We start from the raw sequence: 17,738 nt of genomic DNA on the forward strand, positions 1-17,738 counted from the left end.
CAGGGAAACCTGTCTTTTCCTTTTAACTTCTGCCTTATTACTACAAGTTGTACAGCACACCATGCCTGGTTTTCATCAGCAATGTTTCCTGAGGTTACAGAAAGATTTCTAATCCTGGGAGGAAACACTCCCTTGAAGCAAAAGTGTTCTCCCCCAAAAAATGCAAGGAGCTATCGTCTTGATAGCCAGGCAGATAATTCTCAGGTTTTGCCCCACAGAATCTCTATCTAAAATACAGCAGTGGTCATGCCTAGTGAAAAGTTTGAGGGAACTCGCCCAGTGTTGGGTTTCTTCAGAGCCATATATATAGATATAACCAAATATCCTAAAAGACACTGCCCTTCATCATTCCATGCTGTTAGACATTTACAGGACCATGGATGGTGATCTCCTCCAGACAAAAATAAATGCTGGTGCAGAATAGGTAAGTGTATTATAATTTGAGGACATCAGCTTTTGGGCATTTTAAACCATGGGTCAGACATGTTAGAGCAAGAGTCCAGGTTGATAGCAAGAGGGAGTGTTTTTCTTTTAATTTGTCAATAGCAAAGTGATGTTTGCCACTGTCATTTCAGAGTGAGGTGGCAATTTGTTGTTGTTTGGTTTTGTGGGTTTTTGTTTGTTTGTTTGTTTGTTTGTTTTTGAGACAAGGTCTCACTGTCACCCAGGCTGGAATGCAGTGGCATGATCAGGGTTTACTCCTGCCTTGACCTCATGAATTCAAGCAAACCTCCTTACTAATCCTCCCGAGTAGCTGGGACTACAGGCACATGACCCCACACCCTGGGGTGTGAACTGGGATTTGATGTTTTCAGTTGGCTCTCTAATGGAATAGGTTCCCTTACTCTTGTAGAATCAGATTGTCTTCATGATTATCATTCTTGTGTGCATTATATTTTTACTACCCTGCTATATTTTTTGTATTTTTCTTTTTTCTTTTTATTTTTTTCTTTGTGAGACAGAGTCTCGCTCTGTCTCCCAGGCTGTATTGCAGTGGCAGGATCTCAGCTCACTGCAACCTCCACCTCCTGGGTTCAAGCAATTCTTTTGCTTCAGCCTCCTGAGTAGCCACCTGGCTAATTTTTGTATTTTTAGTGGAGACAGGGTTTCACCATGTTGGCCAGGCTGGTCTCAAACTCCTGACCTCGGGCTCCCAAAGTGCTGGGAGTACAGGCATGAGCCACCATGCCCAGCCTAACCAAGATTATTAAACCATTCTAATTTGTCAAAAGAGTCACACTGATTTTTAAAAAATAATGTAATGGGCCAGGTGCAGTGGCTCATGCCTGTAACCCCAGCACTTTGGGAAGCCATAGCAGGAGGATCATGAGGTCAGGAGTTCAAGACCAGCCTGACCAACATGGTGAAACCCCGTGTCTACTAAAAATACAAAAATTAGCCAGGTGTGGTGGTGTGCGCCTGTAATCCCAGCTACTCAGGAGGCTGAGACAGGAGAATTGCTTGAACCCGGGAAGCAGAGGTTGCAGTGAGCCAAGATTGCACCACTGCACTCTAGCTTAGGCGACAGAGTGAGACTACATCTCAAAATAAATAAATAAATAAATGCATATAATAATAATGTAATGAACTTTTTCATGTCTTTATATAATAAATATTACATTATTTAAATTGTTCAAAAGCATCAAAGATTCCTCTCTGCTATCAACTTCATTTATTTTATTGTACCAAACTACCAGGACCATTAATTTAATCTACAGCTAAATCTCTTATTTTTTCGTGTTAGAAATTCAACAAGAAAATTTTTCCCTAATGAAACCTCACATTTCAAGCATAAGGAGCCTGGGCGAGGTGGCTCACACCTGTAATCCCAGCACTTTGGAAGGCCGAGACAGGTGCATCACTTGAGGTCAGGAGTTTGAGACTAGCCTGGCAAACATGATGAAACCCTGTCTCTACTAAACATATAAAAATTAGCTGGGCGTGGTGGCGTGCGCCTGTAATCCCAGCTACTCTGGAGGCTGAGGCAGGGAAATAGCTTCAACCTGGGAGGCAGAGCTTGCAGTGAGCTGAGATGGCACCACTGCACTCTAGCCTGGGCTACAGAGCAAGACTCTGTCTCAAAAATAAATAAATAGATAAATAAGCATAAGTAGTAAAAAAATAACATAAATTAAAAAATAAGGCACAGGGTCTTGCTCTGTTATCCAGGCTAGAGTGCAGCGGGGCAATCATAGCTGACCAACTTGGAACTTCTGGGCTCAGGCAATCCTCCTGGCTCAGCTTGCCTTGTGTTTTTTTAGAGATGAGGTCTTGCCCTGTTCCCCAGGCTGGTCTGCAACCGCTGGCCTAAAGCAATCCTTCCGCCTCAGCCTGTTGAGTTGCTGGGAGTACAGGTGCAAGACATGCAGCCTAGCATTGTAGTAAAACAATTTTCAACAAATTCTTAATTTTCTTTCCTTTTTTTTTTTTTTTTGAGTTGGGAGTCTCATTCTGTCACTCAGGCTGGAGGGCAGTGGCACAATCATAGTTCACTGCAGCCTGAGATTACAGTCATGCATTATCATGCCCGGCCAACTTTAAAAAATTAGCTAATACTTAAAAATTTGTAGAGACAGGGGTTTCACTGTGTTGCCCAGGCTGGTCTCCAACTCTTAAAGTGCTGGGACTGTAGCTATGAGCCACCATACCTGGCTTAATTTTCTTATTTTAATTTTATATAAGTGATTATTATTGTTCCTAAGATAATTGGGGCAGTGACTCCTTTACAATTGTAGAGATCTAATTTGTCTATTCACTTCACTGAAAGAGTATGCCAATTTGTTTCATGAGAAAATATCCTATATTTATAAAGCAGGAAAATTCCTTCCACCAAACTAGGGTGCATTCTAAAGAAACGAATTGTGCTAAGTAACATCACTTAAAGTGAAAACAGAGGCAATGGTATCTATTAACAATGTTTATCAGTGAAGGAAATAAACTGAAAAGATGAACATCATTAGATCCTTGGAGGGCCTTCATTGCTGAAAATCTGAGTAACACTGTGATACTCTTTTGAGTCTGGCAGGACATTCTCTTTCCAGGGCATGTAACAGTGGGTGAATAATTGCTTTTCATTCATTTCCATTAAGGGCTGAACTTCCTTAATGTTCTGGAGATTATTAAATTTGATTTGTATAGTTGTGAAAAGTACTCATATTGCTGATTCCATTGCTTATATGTGATCATATAAATCTTTTCTCTTTCTGTAGTGTGGTTTAAACTTAATCCTTAAAGGGCATGTATTTGAATTTTTCAGCTGGTTAGAAACCTGAATATACCAATCAAATAAAACTGCTCCTTACATGCTACAGATTCAGTTTTCTTCCTGTACTAAGATGTCTTTTAGATACAGTAAATTCGTTAAAGCCAAGAGCCCCTAGGAAACGAAGTTGGGTGGGAGGGGGGACATCGAGTAGTAAGATCACTCTTGTAACAGAGATGCCACTCTTGCAGATATTGACAACAATTGGGCCTATAAAATGTTTACCAAACATTGGAAAGACAAGATCTGAACAACTTATCATTGCTGCAGTCTCAAATATCAGGAAATGCCATTATTCTCAGGACAATAAATAGACAATAAAGAAGACTCACAGACCAGATTAGCTGTCATGTATCACCAAACAGGGACTGGATCCTTGTCAACACGACCCAACAGAGATTGTCCCCAGAAATTCACTTCATAACCTCAAAACCAAAAACCCACACTGATGGCAAAAAATAATGATGCAAAGAATGAGAGAGAAAGAGAGAGAGAGAGAGAGAGAGAGAGACCTGTCCTATAGCCATACTCAGTGGGTAAAAGCCAAAGGGCTCAATTTCTGCTCATGATACTTAATAGAACATAGGGAACATGAGCCAATAGCTCAATGGGTTCAGATCTGCACCAAGTGCCTGTTGGACGCAGGATTCTACTGTCTCCAATAATATGTCTCAGATGCACTAATTTTTTTTCTTTTTTTGAGACAGAGTCTTACTCTGTTGCCCAGGCTGCGGTGCAATGGCGCGATCTCGGCTCACAGTAACCTCCACCTCCCGGGTTCAAGTGATTCTCCTGCCTCAGCCTCCCGAGTAGTTGGGATTACAGACACACACCACTGCGCCCGGCAATTATTATTATTATCATTATTATTATTATTGTTATTATTATTATTGTGCGTGTGTATGTGTTTTTAGTAGAGACGGAGTTTTGCCATGTTGGTCAGGCTGGTCTTGAACTCCTGACCTCAGCTGATCAAAAGTAGGTGAGGTCAAAAAACATACCCTGGGAGAGGCTGGCACAATGCCCAGAACCGCTATCGCTAGGCCTGGGGTTTTCCTCTGTAGTGGAATACTAGTATTCATGTAGTGCAGGGACAAAACCAATTAGATAGTTCTGGGAGTTAAAAAGAGATGATTTACAGTGCCATTTGAGAAGGGGTATTAAGGAATTTGCCAGGGCACTGACGCGTGTCAGGTGTAAACCTCAGGTTGAGAGAGAGCTAAGTATTTTCTGTCCATGAAGGTGATAAGCGAGGGCCTGAAGAAAGAGGGACTGGGGAGGACACTGGCACCAGAAATAGGAAAGGGCTTCTTGGGGGTGGGAAGGATGGGTCACGGTGCTATCTAGAAAGTTGCCTGGCAGTGGATGTAGGATGTGGGAGTGAGACATCAAACATGAAGCAGTCGCTTAAAGTCTGAAGAAACACTAGATATATGAACTGCAGGAGATAGTAGGGAAACTGGACCGGCTCCTCATAAAACTTCCCGCCTTCTATCTCCGGGAGGATCGCAGGGCATTTCCGCCAAGACAGGTGAGACTGCGGTTCTGACCTGCGGGCCTCCGTGCATATGCGCTAGGGCACCTGGGGGCCGGCAGAGCCGTTCCCCTACGCAAAGTAAGCGTGTTTTGTCTACAACCCAACGGGGACACTGAGAGCCCCAAAGGCCCTGCTTTCTTCCCAGAGAACAGCGCCCATCTGCATAATTTCTACCTGGCTCTATGAGGTGAGAACACATTCCCCGCTAGCACAGAAATCCTACAAACTCCTGTGGGGGCTGCGTTTGGAAGCAGAGGCTGTGTAAGAGGTGACTTGGGGGGTAGGGAAAAACAGGAAGATTTTCACACAGGGTGAGAACCCAAGAGACTGGAGACCACGGACCAATCCCTGCAAAAAGCAGCCAGGGTAGAAAGGGAAGAGCTGAGCGGACTTCACGATAGCTAATTTGTGTTACAAAGCCGATACGGCTGATGCTCGCTTTTTCTCCTATGGCGTGCAGGCCACATGTTACTTCCTATTCCCCAACCGTCTACTGTAGGATTAACACCTAAGACGCCAACCAAGACACAAACCAATACAAGAAAAGATATGACCCTTGGCGTACAGTCTGTTTTTGAAACTCCAGAAAGTCAGGGGAAAGCGCGAACGCAGTCCCCCACTACCACAAATTATGCAGTCGAGTTTCCCACATTTGGGGAAATCGCAGGGGTCAGCACATCCGGAGTGCAATGGATAAGCCTCGCCCTGGGAAAACCACCTTCGTGATCATGGTATCTCCCCTGCCAGGTAAGTATGAGAGCTTGGGCCTCTGCCCCGACACAGCCTCATACGCCTCACTCTTTACACACACGGTCACTTGCCCCGCGCACTCCCGAGCCCTTTCCAGCCCTGACACACAGCTGGGATTCTCACTTCCGATCAGCGGTCCTGAACCCGCTCCCAGGGCACGGGAACTCCTTCGTGGTGAAGCAGCAAGTGGCGAAGCAGCAGCCTCTGCGCTGCCTCATCTACATAGAAGTCGCCCTGTCCGTGATGTCACCGACAGTGCCTTGCCCAGTCCCCGTCTGCCTTTCTGCCACTCAACCGACCAATCTGCTGCCAGAGCCGCCAAGGGGAAGTGACGTCTGCCTCTCCCTTTTTCCCTCCCGCCCCTGCGTCTGTTCTCTCCCAAAGAAGCTGGTCCTTAGCCTGTGTTAAGGAGCAACCTTTCGGTGGCCAGATGGAGCCGGGGCATCCTTCTTCAAATAATGGCTTTTAATTCGCAGACTAGAATGTTTCGGATTACAAAAGAAACCGGTTCTCTTCACATCCTTATCCTTGTGATGCAGCATTCCGCTTGCAATTGGAAGCCGTTTAATATCAGAGAGAAACCATATTTATGAAAGTAAAGAGGCTGCTCAGATGACTGCAAACCAGCCTTCCTTACTGGTTTTATCACTGGTAATGTTATAAAGACAGTTGTCCAGTTTCATGAATCTTGTAGGTTTTTTTTTTTTTTGATGTTGTTTTTTTGCAAAAATCCGTATTGTAGAAAAATATGCTGTCCCAGAAGAGATGATTGGACACTCTCAAGCGTGGTGCTGGACTTTGTCATCTCTTGCACAGCCATCTCCACACCTTAGTGCTTACCTCATGTTAGTTTTTTATATTCTGCAAAGACGAAACCAAAATAATCCAAATTTGACACAAATACCTGGGCTACATCTTATTTGAGATGTTTAACAAATGTCTGGATCATCTTTTCTTATATATTACGCAGGAAACACTGTGAAGTAAGCAAAGTTGGAATGCCCAAGTGAAAGACCATTTGAATATTTACAAGTAGATTTCAGACAGGAATACTACAGGGTGGTCACAGGATAACAAATTCTAGGCAGCAGATTTACATGACTTGAGGCTGTGGGCTGTTAAGACGCTGAAAAACCAGGGTGTGGACCAAGCTGGCTAAGGCTGAGTGGACCCAACGTGGTGCTGGATTTGATGGAGGTTTTACCTAGGCCCTCATTATATGCTCATTAACATACTAAATCACACACCCGCCAGTGCCATGACAGTTCTGAGACCAGTGTTTGATGTACAAATGGCACCACAGTTCCAAGAAATCTCCACCTTTACCCAGGAATTTTCGTGAACATTCCACTCCTTGGTTAAAGAAACCCATCAAGATGAAACCCCAGAACCCATTATTCTCTCTTGGGTATGCCCAAGCTCCCCTTTCTTGAGTGTGTACTTTTTGCTTTGCAATAAATCTCTTCTTTCACTATCTGCTGACTCATCTTTGACTTTGTTCTCGCGATGGTGTCAAGAGCCTGGACACCACGGCTGGGGTCGAGATCCCACCAGTGTCCAGGGACCTCCCCCAGCCCACCAGTATCAGATTCTATTCCATTGCTCAAATCACAAAACATCGAGTGGAGAGTTCTCCTTGGAGACCCTAAAGTAAAGATTCTGTGGCATGGTGGCCAGTTAGGCCACTGGAAGCATGGCAAAATATTGAAAATGAGGGATTAGGTGACAGTGTAGTAACTGCTGAATACTAAATACTTGATCCAGGCCCCATTCCCTGGAGATTGACAGGGAGACACATTGTCCAGGTAGTAGTGGAGAAATGCTTTCTGGGTATCTGACCAGCCTTTGTGGAAAGAACTGGCACCATCCTGCAGATGTAACCGCCTGATGGGTTCTTCCTGACCAATGTACACAAAAATTCAATTCATGGAGACCATGGCACTGCAGGCAAGAGTTTCATTGACACAGGCCAGCCACGACATGTGGGAGACAGAGTTATTACTCAAAGCAATCTCACTGAAGGCTTGGAGGTAAGGGGTTTTTCAAAGATAGTTTGGTGGGGAGGGGGCTAGGGCTTGCGTGGTGCTGATTGTTGGGGATGAAATCACAGGGGCGTGGAAAATGGTCCTCCTGCATGGAGTCAGCTTCTGGGTGGGGGCTAAGGGACTGGTTGATTTTCGGGCCAGATGGTGCCTTCCAGCAGTCAGAAATGCAAAAGCCTGAAAAGACATCTCAAGAGGCCAATCTTAGGTTCTACAATAGTGATGTTCTTCACAGCAGTAATTGGGGAAGCTGCCAATCTTGTGACTTCTGGAATAATGGCTGGTAATTATTTAACGAGGCATACATCTTAGTAGAAATCAGGCCCCTTTCATCCTTCTAACTTGGTGGCCTTTCATCCATTTTACAGGGGTAATTTAGTTTTGGGGAAGGTTATCATTTAAAGCAGCCTTTTTGGCTGTCCTCAACCTTTTTGTCACCAGGGACTGGTTTCATGGAAGACAATTTTTCCATGGAAGGGGGTGGTGGATGTTTTCCAGATGAAACTGTTCCACCTCAGGTCATCAGGCATCAGTTACAGTCTCATAAGGAGTGCGCAATCTGGATCACTCACATGAGCTGTATCACCACTCAGCTCTCACTCCAGCCTCAGGTATCAGCAAGACCTCACCAAAGATTACTGTTTAATTGTCTCTGTGTGTGTTTTTGTTTGTTTCAGGTAACAACTAATGTTGGAACTATGAAAAGCTCTTCTCTACTTTTAACAAAGCTTAGTCACAAACAGTTCCCCAGTTGATGAGAAAAACTAAAACAACAGAACAATTGAAAGTCCGAATCTGCAAGTTCATCTCTGAGAACCGAATTTTACAGCCACTCCAGATTTGTACTCCAAATGGATAGTTTGATTGTAGAAATCACATCCCTTCAGTCTGCCAATGTGATAACTGCCCAAGAGAAAGTGATGCCTACATTCATAGATAATCCCCTTTCCCCCATCCTATATATAACTGGAGTCAACAGCAGCTGGAGGAAAATGGCAAGAACTTGGAATCAAGATTAGGTTAGAATAACACTGCTGTAGACAGTTTATCAGCTCTTCAGCATATGTCCATTTTCCTTGAAGGATGAGCCTTTAGAAACCTCTGACAATAAAGTTTATTTTACATCCATTCCCTTGCCTATGATTTTTTCATACAAATCACAATTATAAAACTTTCTTGCTCCAGCTAAAAGCAGGAAACTCAATCATGAATGTGTTCACTAAATATATACCACAGAATGATAGCAACCAGTCTGAATGCATCACTTGATTCCAAAATTAAATGTTAGCCCTCAGTGGTGCAACTACATGTATCTCCAACTCTGGAAGCCACAGGCAACATATTCCTGTTTCCTTGCAGGGAAACGGATCTATAAGCAGGCCGGCAGTCTCACACGTGTACATTCCTGGGAAACCCAAGGAAACAATGATAGTGAAGCAGGGCAGGCAAGCCCCCAAACTGAAAGACTTTTGCTAATGTCACGATTGGCTTTCCATGTTATTTGAAGACTGAGATCTCCATGAGGAATGAAGATAGGTAATGCCTAAGGCTGAGGCATGACCTCACTGGGTCACCTTAGCTGTGAAGTGAGGTCAGTTGTCACCTTGCAAACCTTTTGGTAATCCAAATCTTGGAATGATTTCTTTAAGAATTTAGACACTTCCAGTACTTTTCCTGTCCTTGTGGGGAAAGCTTCTATCCACCTGTTGAAAGTGCCTATAAATACTAGCAAATCTTGTAGTTCCCTGTAAGGTGGCATCTGGGTTAAGTCTGTCTGCCAGTCTTCACCATGGTATGTTCCTTGGTGTTGTACAGGTTTAAGCAGGGATCGGGGTATGGGGTGGCTTCCTGAGTGGTAACCCTTTTTATAGTTTAGAACAGTCCCTTCCCGAAGAATATTTAGGAAACTAATTTGAATGGAAAATCCCGTCCCAAATGTGAGGAATCATGAAAATGTTTAATTATTTCCCATCTGTCAGCCTCAGGAATAGAGTTTGTTCTTTTCTACCAACCATCCAGAGGGTCTCCCTGGAAGCCTTTTACTCAGTCCCTTTAATTTCCTTAGGGGTATAGTATGGTGTCACTGACACGGATGCAGTACCTGGTAGTAGCGCAGCAGCTTGAAATACCAGGGTTTCCTTAGTTGTGGCCTTAGCTGCTCTTTCCACCAGGGAATTTCCTCTAATAATAAAAGTGTCTCCCTTCTGGTGTCCCCTGCAGTGAGTAATTGTTATTTCTTTGGGAGTTGGACAGCATCTAAAAGTTCCAAGATCTGAGTAAAGTTGTATGGGGCATCCCTTGGCTTTTGATAGTTCCCTTTCCTTCCCTATGGCTGCATGAGCATGGAGCACCAGGAACCCACATTTAGAGTCAGTCAACACATTGACTCTTGAGGGTTTTGGTTTTCTTCTTCTTTTTTTGAAACGGAGTCTTGCTGTGTCGCCCAGGCTGGAGTGCAGTGGCATGATCTCAGCTCACTGCAAACTCGGGGATTCTCATGTCCCAGCCTCCCAAGTAGCTGGGATTACAGGCACCCCCCACCACACCTGGCTAATTTTTGTATTTTTAGTAGAGACGGGGTTTCGCCATGTTGGCTAGGCCGGTCTCGAACTCCCAACCTCAGGTGATCCACCCACCTTGGCCTCCCAAAGTGCTGGGATTACAGGGGTGAGCCACCGTGCCCAGCTTAAGTCTTTTCATGGTTGGAAGGCCCTAATTAGAGCAGCTAATTCTGCTTTTTGAGCAGAAGTCTGAGAAGGTAAACCCTTGGCCTCAATGATTTCTTGTTGGCTAAGCTTCCTTTCTTACTCCCTCATGAATATAGCTATTTCCATCTCTAAAGCACTCAACATTTGGGTTAGACAAGAGCTTGTCTTCAAGGTTGGGCCTTCTAGAGTAGAGCTCTTCCGTGGTTTCCACACAGGAGTCAATGAGTTTGGGAGCTCTTTCTTGAGACGTGAGGTGCAGCAACAGAGTAGCAGGGTTTAAAAATCAGCATATTTTCAGGGTAACATCTCGGGTGTCAAGCAGAAGGGTCTGATATTTAAGTAACTGGCCCTCTGTTAGCCATTGGTGTACTTTTGCCTCTAGGACCCTCTGTACTGTACTTCATGGGGTGGCAGGGGGTGGGGGTGGGGTGGTATGGCATCTAATTGTTGTCCCAAGGTAAACTTAGTGGTTTTTTCTAACAATAGAGTGATGGTAGCCACAGATCTCAAGCTTCCTGGTCACCCAGCTGCCACCTGGTCTAGCTGTTTAGAGAAATAAGCCACTGGTCCAAAGTAATTCCTCAGTCTTTGAGTTAGAAAATCCAAAGCTGTCCCTTGTTATTCATCCACATAGAGGGTGAAAGGTTTTTCTAAGTCCGAGAGTCCTGAGGCAAGGGATGTCCCTGGCTTTTCTTTTAAGGCTAAGAATGCCTTTTGACAGGTTCCAAGCTCCGACTCCTGGGTTCACACCATGCTCCCACCTCAGCCTCCTGAGTAGCTGGGACTACAGGCGCCCACCACCACAGCCAGCTAATTTTTTGTATTCTTAGTAGAGACGGGGTTTCACTGTGTTAGCCAGGATGGTCTGGATCTCCTGACCTCCTGATCCACCCGCCTCGGCCTCCCAAATTGCTGGGATTACAGACGTGAGCCACCGCACCCGGCCAACAATTTTTTTTTTCTTTAATGAACAGAGCATCAGTGAATGATAGTGCAAGTTTAAGACACCTAATAGACAAGTTAAAGGAGTCCTCCAGGCAGAAGGAAACTGACACGGGATGAAAATCTGGATGAAAAAAAAAAGACACTAGAAATGACATCTACAAAGGCAAATATGTAATTTTAACATCTGACTGTTTAGCCGGGCACGATGGCTCACGCCTGGAATCCCGGCACTTTGGGAGGCCGAGGAAGGCGGATCACTTGAGGTCAGGAGTTCGAGACCAGCCTGGCCAATATGGTGAACCTTCCTCTCTACGAAAAATTCAAAAATTAGTCAGATGTGGTGGCCCAAGCTTGTAATCTCTGCTACTCAGGAGTCTGAGTCAGAAGAATGACTCGAATCCAGAAAGCAGAGGTTGCCGTAAGCCAAGACTGTGCCACTGCACTCCAGCCTGTCCGATAGAGTAAGACTCGTCTTAAAAACACCACCACCAACAACAAAAAAACCCAAAAACAAACAAACAAAAACACATCTGACTCTTGAAACAAAAGTAATAGAGATGGATTGTAAGGTTTATAACAGGTGTAAAGTAAAATGCATGACACTAGCATAAAGGCAGGGAGAGGAGTCATGTGAAGAGGTATGATGCCACTTGAAGGCAGACTGTGATGGGTTAATTTTTGTGGAAAGCAGGGCAGAATTTTTGAAGTTTGTGTCTTCAAATACTTTGTTTCCCATACATACAAGCTAGTTTGTGCTGCAGAGATCTTATTTTCTAGGAGGCTCGAAGGGGGACCTTCTGCTGTCTGTCCTCATGGGATGCACAAGACACAAGGGAACAGTCTTTCACTTTTAAATACAGTGATAGGTCTGAGGAGATAGATACAGCTGCAATTTTTTTTTTTTTTAAATGAGATGGGATTCTCACTGGTCTTGAACTTCTGAGCTCAGTGGAGGCTTCCCCTACGTCGGCCTATCAAAGTGTTGGGATTAATAGGCGTGAGGCACTGCACCCGGCCACAACCACCAACATTTAAAATCACGTCCTTGGGTGGTCTCGAACCACCAACCTTCCGGTTAACAGCCGAACGCGCTAACCGACTGCGCCACAGAGACAACGTCAATTGTCTATTTTCATCTCTATATACATTAAGCAATCACAAAACCCTAGGGGTTGCCATTCGCTTTCTGCGGGACAACTGTGCAGACTACAAAGCTTCGGAAAACCGGAGAGGCTGAGTCGACTAATCGTCTTGCTGCACGTTAGAAACGCGTGCATTGCGTGACTCTGAAGCCAGAAGGGCGGCCGAATGGCCTTCACCCTGCGTTCACCCTCGCCTGCTTCAGAAGCCAGTGCCTCTGGAAATGCCTGGATCTGCGACCCCAGCCTGAGCCAAGTGGGGCCCAAGGGAAGCTGAACTCCCCGACGGCTCTCACGGTAGCTCTTTCTGTTCTTTTGCGCCGCCTTCATGCAGTCATCTGCTCCGCTTGCTCTCCCTTCACTCAACTCGGCTTCAGTAGATGGGGTCGGTGGGGCGGGAGCGGGAAAGAGGCAGGGGAGTCAAAAGGGAAAACGTGAAAAGGAGGAGGGAGAAGCAGGGGAGACCAGGACTAGACAATGGGACAGCCCAGGATGCCCGTGCAGAGGGCACCGGCTGGATGCAGAGAAGATGGGACATGTATCAGAATGGAGAGGGGGAAATGGGGAGAAGATGTGAGAGAAAATCACAAGAACCTGTAGCTGCCCAAGAATAAAGAAGTAAAAATCGCATAATGTTTTTACATTAATAAAAATAAAATCGGGGGACCAGGGGCAGTGGCTCACGCCTGTAATCCCAGCACTTGGGAGGCCGAGGTGGCTGGATCACTCACTTGAAGTCAGGAGTTCGAGACCAGCGGGGCCAACATGGTGAAAGCCCGTCTCTACTACAAATACAAAAATTAGCTGGGCGTGGTGGCGCACGCTTGTAGTCTCAGCTACTCAGGAGGCTGAGACAGGAGAATCGCTTGAACCTAAGAGGCGGAGGTAGCAGTGAGCCGAGATCGTGCCACTGACCTCCAGCCTGGGCAACAATGCGAAATTCTGTCTCTCAAAAAATATATATAAATAAATAATAGAGGGGTGGGGAAGCAAAACGATGGGCAGTAGGTGTGGGGCGCCTTGGGATTCTCTAGTGGTTAGTAGTCTGCATTGTGCCTGCAGCAACCTCTGTTCTAATCCGAATCCTGGTACAGTCAGACTCTATCTTGGACCCACTGGGGCGAACCCACGTGTCTTTTGGTTTGCTTTTGATTCCTGCAGCAGCTGCGGCCTTTATCTGCAGCCAGAAAGCCGGAAAGCAGGGTTTACCGCTGGCCCCACAGCGCCATACTGTCTGGGGAAAAGAAGGAAACCCAAGAGTACACAAACAGTGGCCCAAAGAGAAACCTTCCAAGTGCTCTATGCCTCACCGTTTAGCAGAAAATATCAAGCAACTCTCAACCTAGCTGGTCTGTAGCTTCCACGAATGAAATAATGTATTTATTGCAGTCTTTCTGGTTGAGATATTTCAAATATTTGGTGGAGCTTTTAATGAGAGAGAGAGACACTCTCGAGTGTGGAAGAAAAAATGAGGGGATGTGAAGATGAGGCGACTTTAGGACAGAAAAAAAAAGAGACAAGCCATGTAAACGTTTTCGGGTAGGCGTGAGGCGATGTCAGTCTTGAACCCCCTTATGTCAGGTAAAGAGCGCAGCCTCTTCTAGCACAAACACCGTTTCCCACATGGAGGAAATCACAGGAATCAGCAACTCTAGAGTGCGATGAAGAAGCTTCACTCTGGGAGAACCCCCTTCGTGACCACGGTCTCTCCCCTGCCAGGTAAAGTGGAAATGAGCACATGGCCTGCAGGGACAGCACAGCCTCCTCGCCCTGGCGGGTCGCTCAGGGTCACCACCCTCCCCACTGCCGCCCCTCGCCATTCTTCCAAACCACTCTCCACCAAAGATTCCACCGACAGTCACCCCACAAGACAACCCAGGCCGCCTCTCAGCAGCGGCTCCCGCCCCGCAGCCACCGCGCCCTCTCACCCCCCAGCGGTTCTGCCCGCCGCCTCTGCCGAGTCTGCGCACTTCACCTCCCTGGCTCCCGCTCTCCCCTGAGCTTACAGTGGACTCGGGGTTCTTCCGAACCCCTCTTGGGAGTACTGAATGGAAAAGGGGGAGCGTGCGCAAGTGCTTGGTAGAGTGTAGACGTCGTGGGATTTGACTGTGGTACCATCGCTTCGACGTCCTAGTGCTGATTTTTCCACCTGCCTTCTGCTTAGGGCACCGGCAGCAGTTTTCCATCTGTGCCTACTCCACCTGCTGTCCTTGTTGGGTCAGCGAACATCGCCTCCCTCTACCGCTCAATCAGCAAACGGGACCGCCGTCGAGGACCTCACCCGCTACTTACCCCCCTAACAAATTCGCGGGCATCGCCTCCGGTCGCCTCTTCCCAAGGCCTAACGAGCGCCTTCGCTGGCAACGGAGGTGAGGAGGCTCCGCTGACTGGCTGGTGCCCGTGTCCGGGGCTGCCACAAACGCCACGACTTGGCTTGGCCTCTCTCTTAGTTATTCGCAGCTCAGCCCGATGGGCGTCTCCGGGGTGGCGACGGGAAAGAAGGTGGGCTTATTGGGTGCAGCTCCACGGGGGCTGGCATCTCTGCCGGGCTGTGTACACCGGACCGAGATGCTCAGTCGCTCTCTAAAGCTGCTCCCGCGGATGACGGACACGGAGATAAATAGGAACGGTGTGTCGTGAGAGGTGGTCCACAAGCACTTGCCCTCCTTCGCCCGTCTTTGACCCCGCTGAGGAGACTGTTCTGCTTCTGGCTCTTGGAGCAGGCCGGCTGACAGCGTAGTGAAGGAAGATTCCTGCGGGAGGGCGGCCAGTGTAAAACGATTCCCTGACCGGGAATCGAACCCGGGCCGCAGCGGTGAAAGCGCCGAATCCTAGCCACTAGACCACCAGGGACACACAGGAGGGAGCTTTCTCTCCCTTCTTCCGTCAGAAGCCACAGCTTCCCTGAGCTCTGGGAGGACTTGGGCCTTGTGAGGGTCGCTCTTTGCTCCTGGAGTCTCTCACAAGGCCATTCCCTCCCTGCTTTCTTCAAAAAAAGAGCCTGCAGGCGACACACCGAGGGCTCCGCGAGGGACACCAAGGCCACGAGTCCCGAGTCCTGGAGCGAGTTACAGCGACCCGGCCGCAGCTCACCACTGGACTAGAGATGCGCCTTTGCGAGGTGGCAGCAAGTGACCAGCCGGTCGTGGGTCGCCAGATCCGGAGCCGCGCACCAGGTTGCCAGGAGGAGGCGGGAGCGCGGAGGCGCCCGGGGTGAGACGGGGGCACCCTCTGCATCATAAAGGACCCAGACGCCAGCACCCTCAACGTCATAAGGAATAAGACGGATGCGGAAACCGAGGCGGGCTGGATGGGAAACTCTTTCCAGGAAGGCTCCGGGGCCCTCAGCTGGTCTCCGACCTTCCCCTGCAACCTGTGACACCTGCCATTTTCCCATCTTAGGCGATGGCAACGCCACCCTTCCGTTTGCTCCGGGCAAAACTTCGAGAGTTCCCTCTGACTCTGGAGATTTTTCCTCACATCCAAGAGCCAACTGGTCATCAATTCGTGATTTCCCATCGGCTAAGTGCGTGGGCATTGAGCTACACGCGAGTCTCTCCACCTCTGCGGAATAGCTACTTCGGGGTAGGGGAGGGGCCCTCCCGTGGATTGTAAGGTGTTTAGCAGCAGCCGTCGCCTCCGCTGACTAGATACATGCCAGGGGGTTAGCATTCTCCCTCCCCGCTTCCCCCATTCGTGACCTAGTGTCCCAGCGGGGATGGGAGAGGCGTGTAAGGGCGAAGTTGCCCCCTCTTGAGAACCACTGATGCGCGTTGTCCTGCTGTCTGAGCTTGTGCAGAGGACTCTCCAGATGAAGGCTCAGGGGTCGATCCAGCTTGAGACCCCCTCGCTCCCCCGCACAGTCGGACCTTAGGATTGGAGATTTTTAACATCTCTGCGTCATGAGATTCGAAACCTTTAGGTCTTTTCTTCCGTTCTGTCCTCCAAATCGGCCTCTTCCGAGCCTGTTGACCAGGGCCAGCCAGGCAGAGGGCTGGGTTTGCTCAACGAGGCTCCTCTCGGCCCTCCTGGAGCTTCAGGCCTCTTTCGGTTGCAGAGAAGCTTTATGGGTCACTTCCTTCGGCATCCCCGGGGGCAGGTGCGCGGTGCCCCTGGAAGAAGAGGGTTTGACCGCGGTTCTCGACCCCGGCGCCCAACTTCCATCTCGGTGCGCGCGCTCTTCCAGGCTCCTGGTGGTCCCACTCGCCAGGAGTTAGGTGTCGGGTCAGCCTGAGTTCCCGAGACGCCCAGGCCCGGAAGGACAAGTAGGGGAAACCAGCTGCTCACTTTGGTCTTGTCCGCAACGGACCCCTTTCTGCCGGGAAAGAAAGGCGGCGAGTCCTGTCCTGTTGGGTAGGTGGAAGAGAGATCAAAGGGAAGACAAGAAAAATCCTGGGAGGTTTCCGGATCTAAAGTTACCATGAAGTCGACCTAACCTCCTCTGGAGGTCCTCCCAGTCCTCCCGTGGCTGGCGATGGTGAATCGAGTTTACGTCTCCAGTTTGCCAAGGCGGACAAAGCCGACACAATGGGCCTGTCCACTATCTTCTTTCATATACACAAAATGTCAGCTCTTCCTGTTTCTGACTGGCAATATCCCGCCTGATGACCAGCTTAGCAAATTAGAGACCCTGCACGGGACTTCATCTCTGTCTTAGTTCGGGCTTCTATAACAATGTACCATAAACTGGGTGGCTGATTCACAACAGAAATTGATTTCTCACAGTTCTGGAGGTTGGAAGTCCGAGATCAAGGTGCCGACGTGGTAGGGTTACAGTGAGGACCTTTGGTCTGGTTGTAGACTGCCACCTTCTCATTGTATCCTCAGGGGGCAGAAAGAGGGCGAGAGAGCTCCCCAGGGTCCCTTTTATAAGGGCATTAGTCCCATTCAGACTAATGGGACTAAATCCAGACTCTTTGCTGAGTGTTGTGGATTTTTTGCATGTTCATCCTCCCTGCAGGCAACTGGAGATGTATTGTCCCCAGAGGGTACAATAGAGAATCTTCCGTCACAAGTCAGCAACCAGCATATGTGAGTGACAGCATGTGTCCCACTCAGAAATGAGAGTGTATTAGTCCGTTTTCATGCTGCTGACAAATACATAACAGAGTCCAGGACCAAAAAGAGGTTTAATTGGACTTACATTTCCATATGACTGGGGAGGCCTCAGAATCATGGCGGGAGGCAAAAGGCACTTCTTACAAGGCAGCAGCAAGAGAAAATGAGGAAGAAGCCAAAGCAGAACCCCCTGAGAAACCCATCAGATAGTGAGACTTACTCGATATCAGGAGAATAGCACAGGAAAGACCCGCCCCCATGATTCAATTACCTCCTCCTAAGTCCCTCCCACAACAC

At 47.9% G+C, this 17,738-nt stretch overlaps 1 long non-coding RNA gene and 3 other non-coding genes across 4 annotated transcripts; all 4 read right to left on the reverse strand.

Annotated features, from left to right (window-relative positions):
* Positions 1–5,390: 5,390 nt before the first annotated feature.
* Positions 5,391–5,554, reverse strand: LOC124905321 (U1 spliceosomal RNA). The gene has a single exon (XR_007068532.1). It is a non-coding gene; the product is annotated as a U1 spliceosomal RNA (small nuclear RNA).
* Positions 5,555–12,284: 6,730 nt separating this feature from the next.
* Positions 12,285–12,358, reverse strand: TRN-GTT26-1 (tRNA-Asn (anticodon GTT) 26-1). Its single transcript has one exon. It is a non-coding gene; the product is annotated as a tRNA-Asn (tRNA).
* Positions 12,359–13,730: 1,372 nt separating this feature from the next.
* LOC440570 (uncharacterized) lies at positions 13,731–16,873 on the reverse strand. Its single transcript, NR_135765.1, has 2 exons — positions 14,676–16,873; positions 13,731–14,095 (listed from the first exon to the last, which is right to left on the reverse strand). It is a non-coding gene; the product is annotated as an uncharacterized LOC440570 (long non-coding RNA).
* Positions 15,165–15,236, reverse strand: TRNAE-UUC (transfer RNA glutamic acid (anticodon UUC)). Its single transcript has one exon. It is a non-coding gene; the product is annotated as a tRNA-Glu (tRNA).
* Positions 16,874–17,738: the final 865 nt, after the last annotated feature.

This window comes from Homo sapiens, assembly GCF_000001405.40.
Source record: "Homo sapiens chromosome 1 unlocalized genomic scaffold, GRCh38.p14 Primary Assembly HSCHR1_CTG8_UNLOCALIZED".
NCBI lineage: Eukaryota > Metazoa > Chordata > Mammalia > Primates > Hominidae > Homo > Homo sapiens.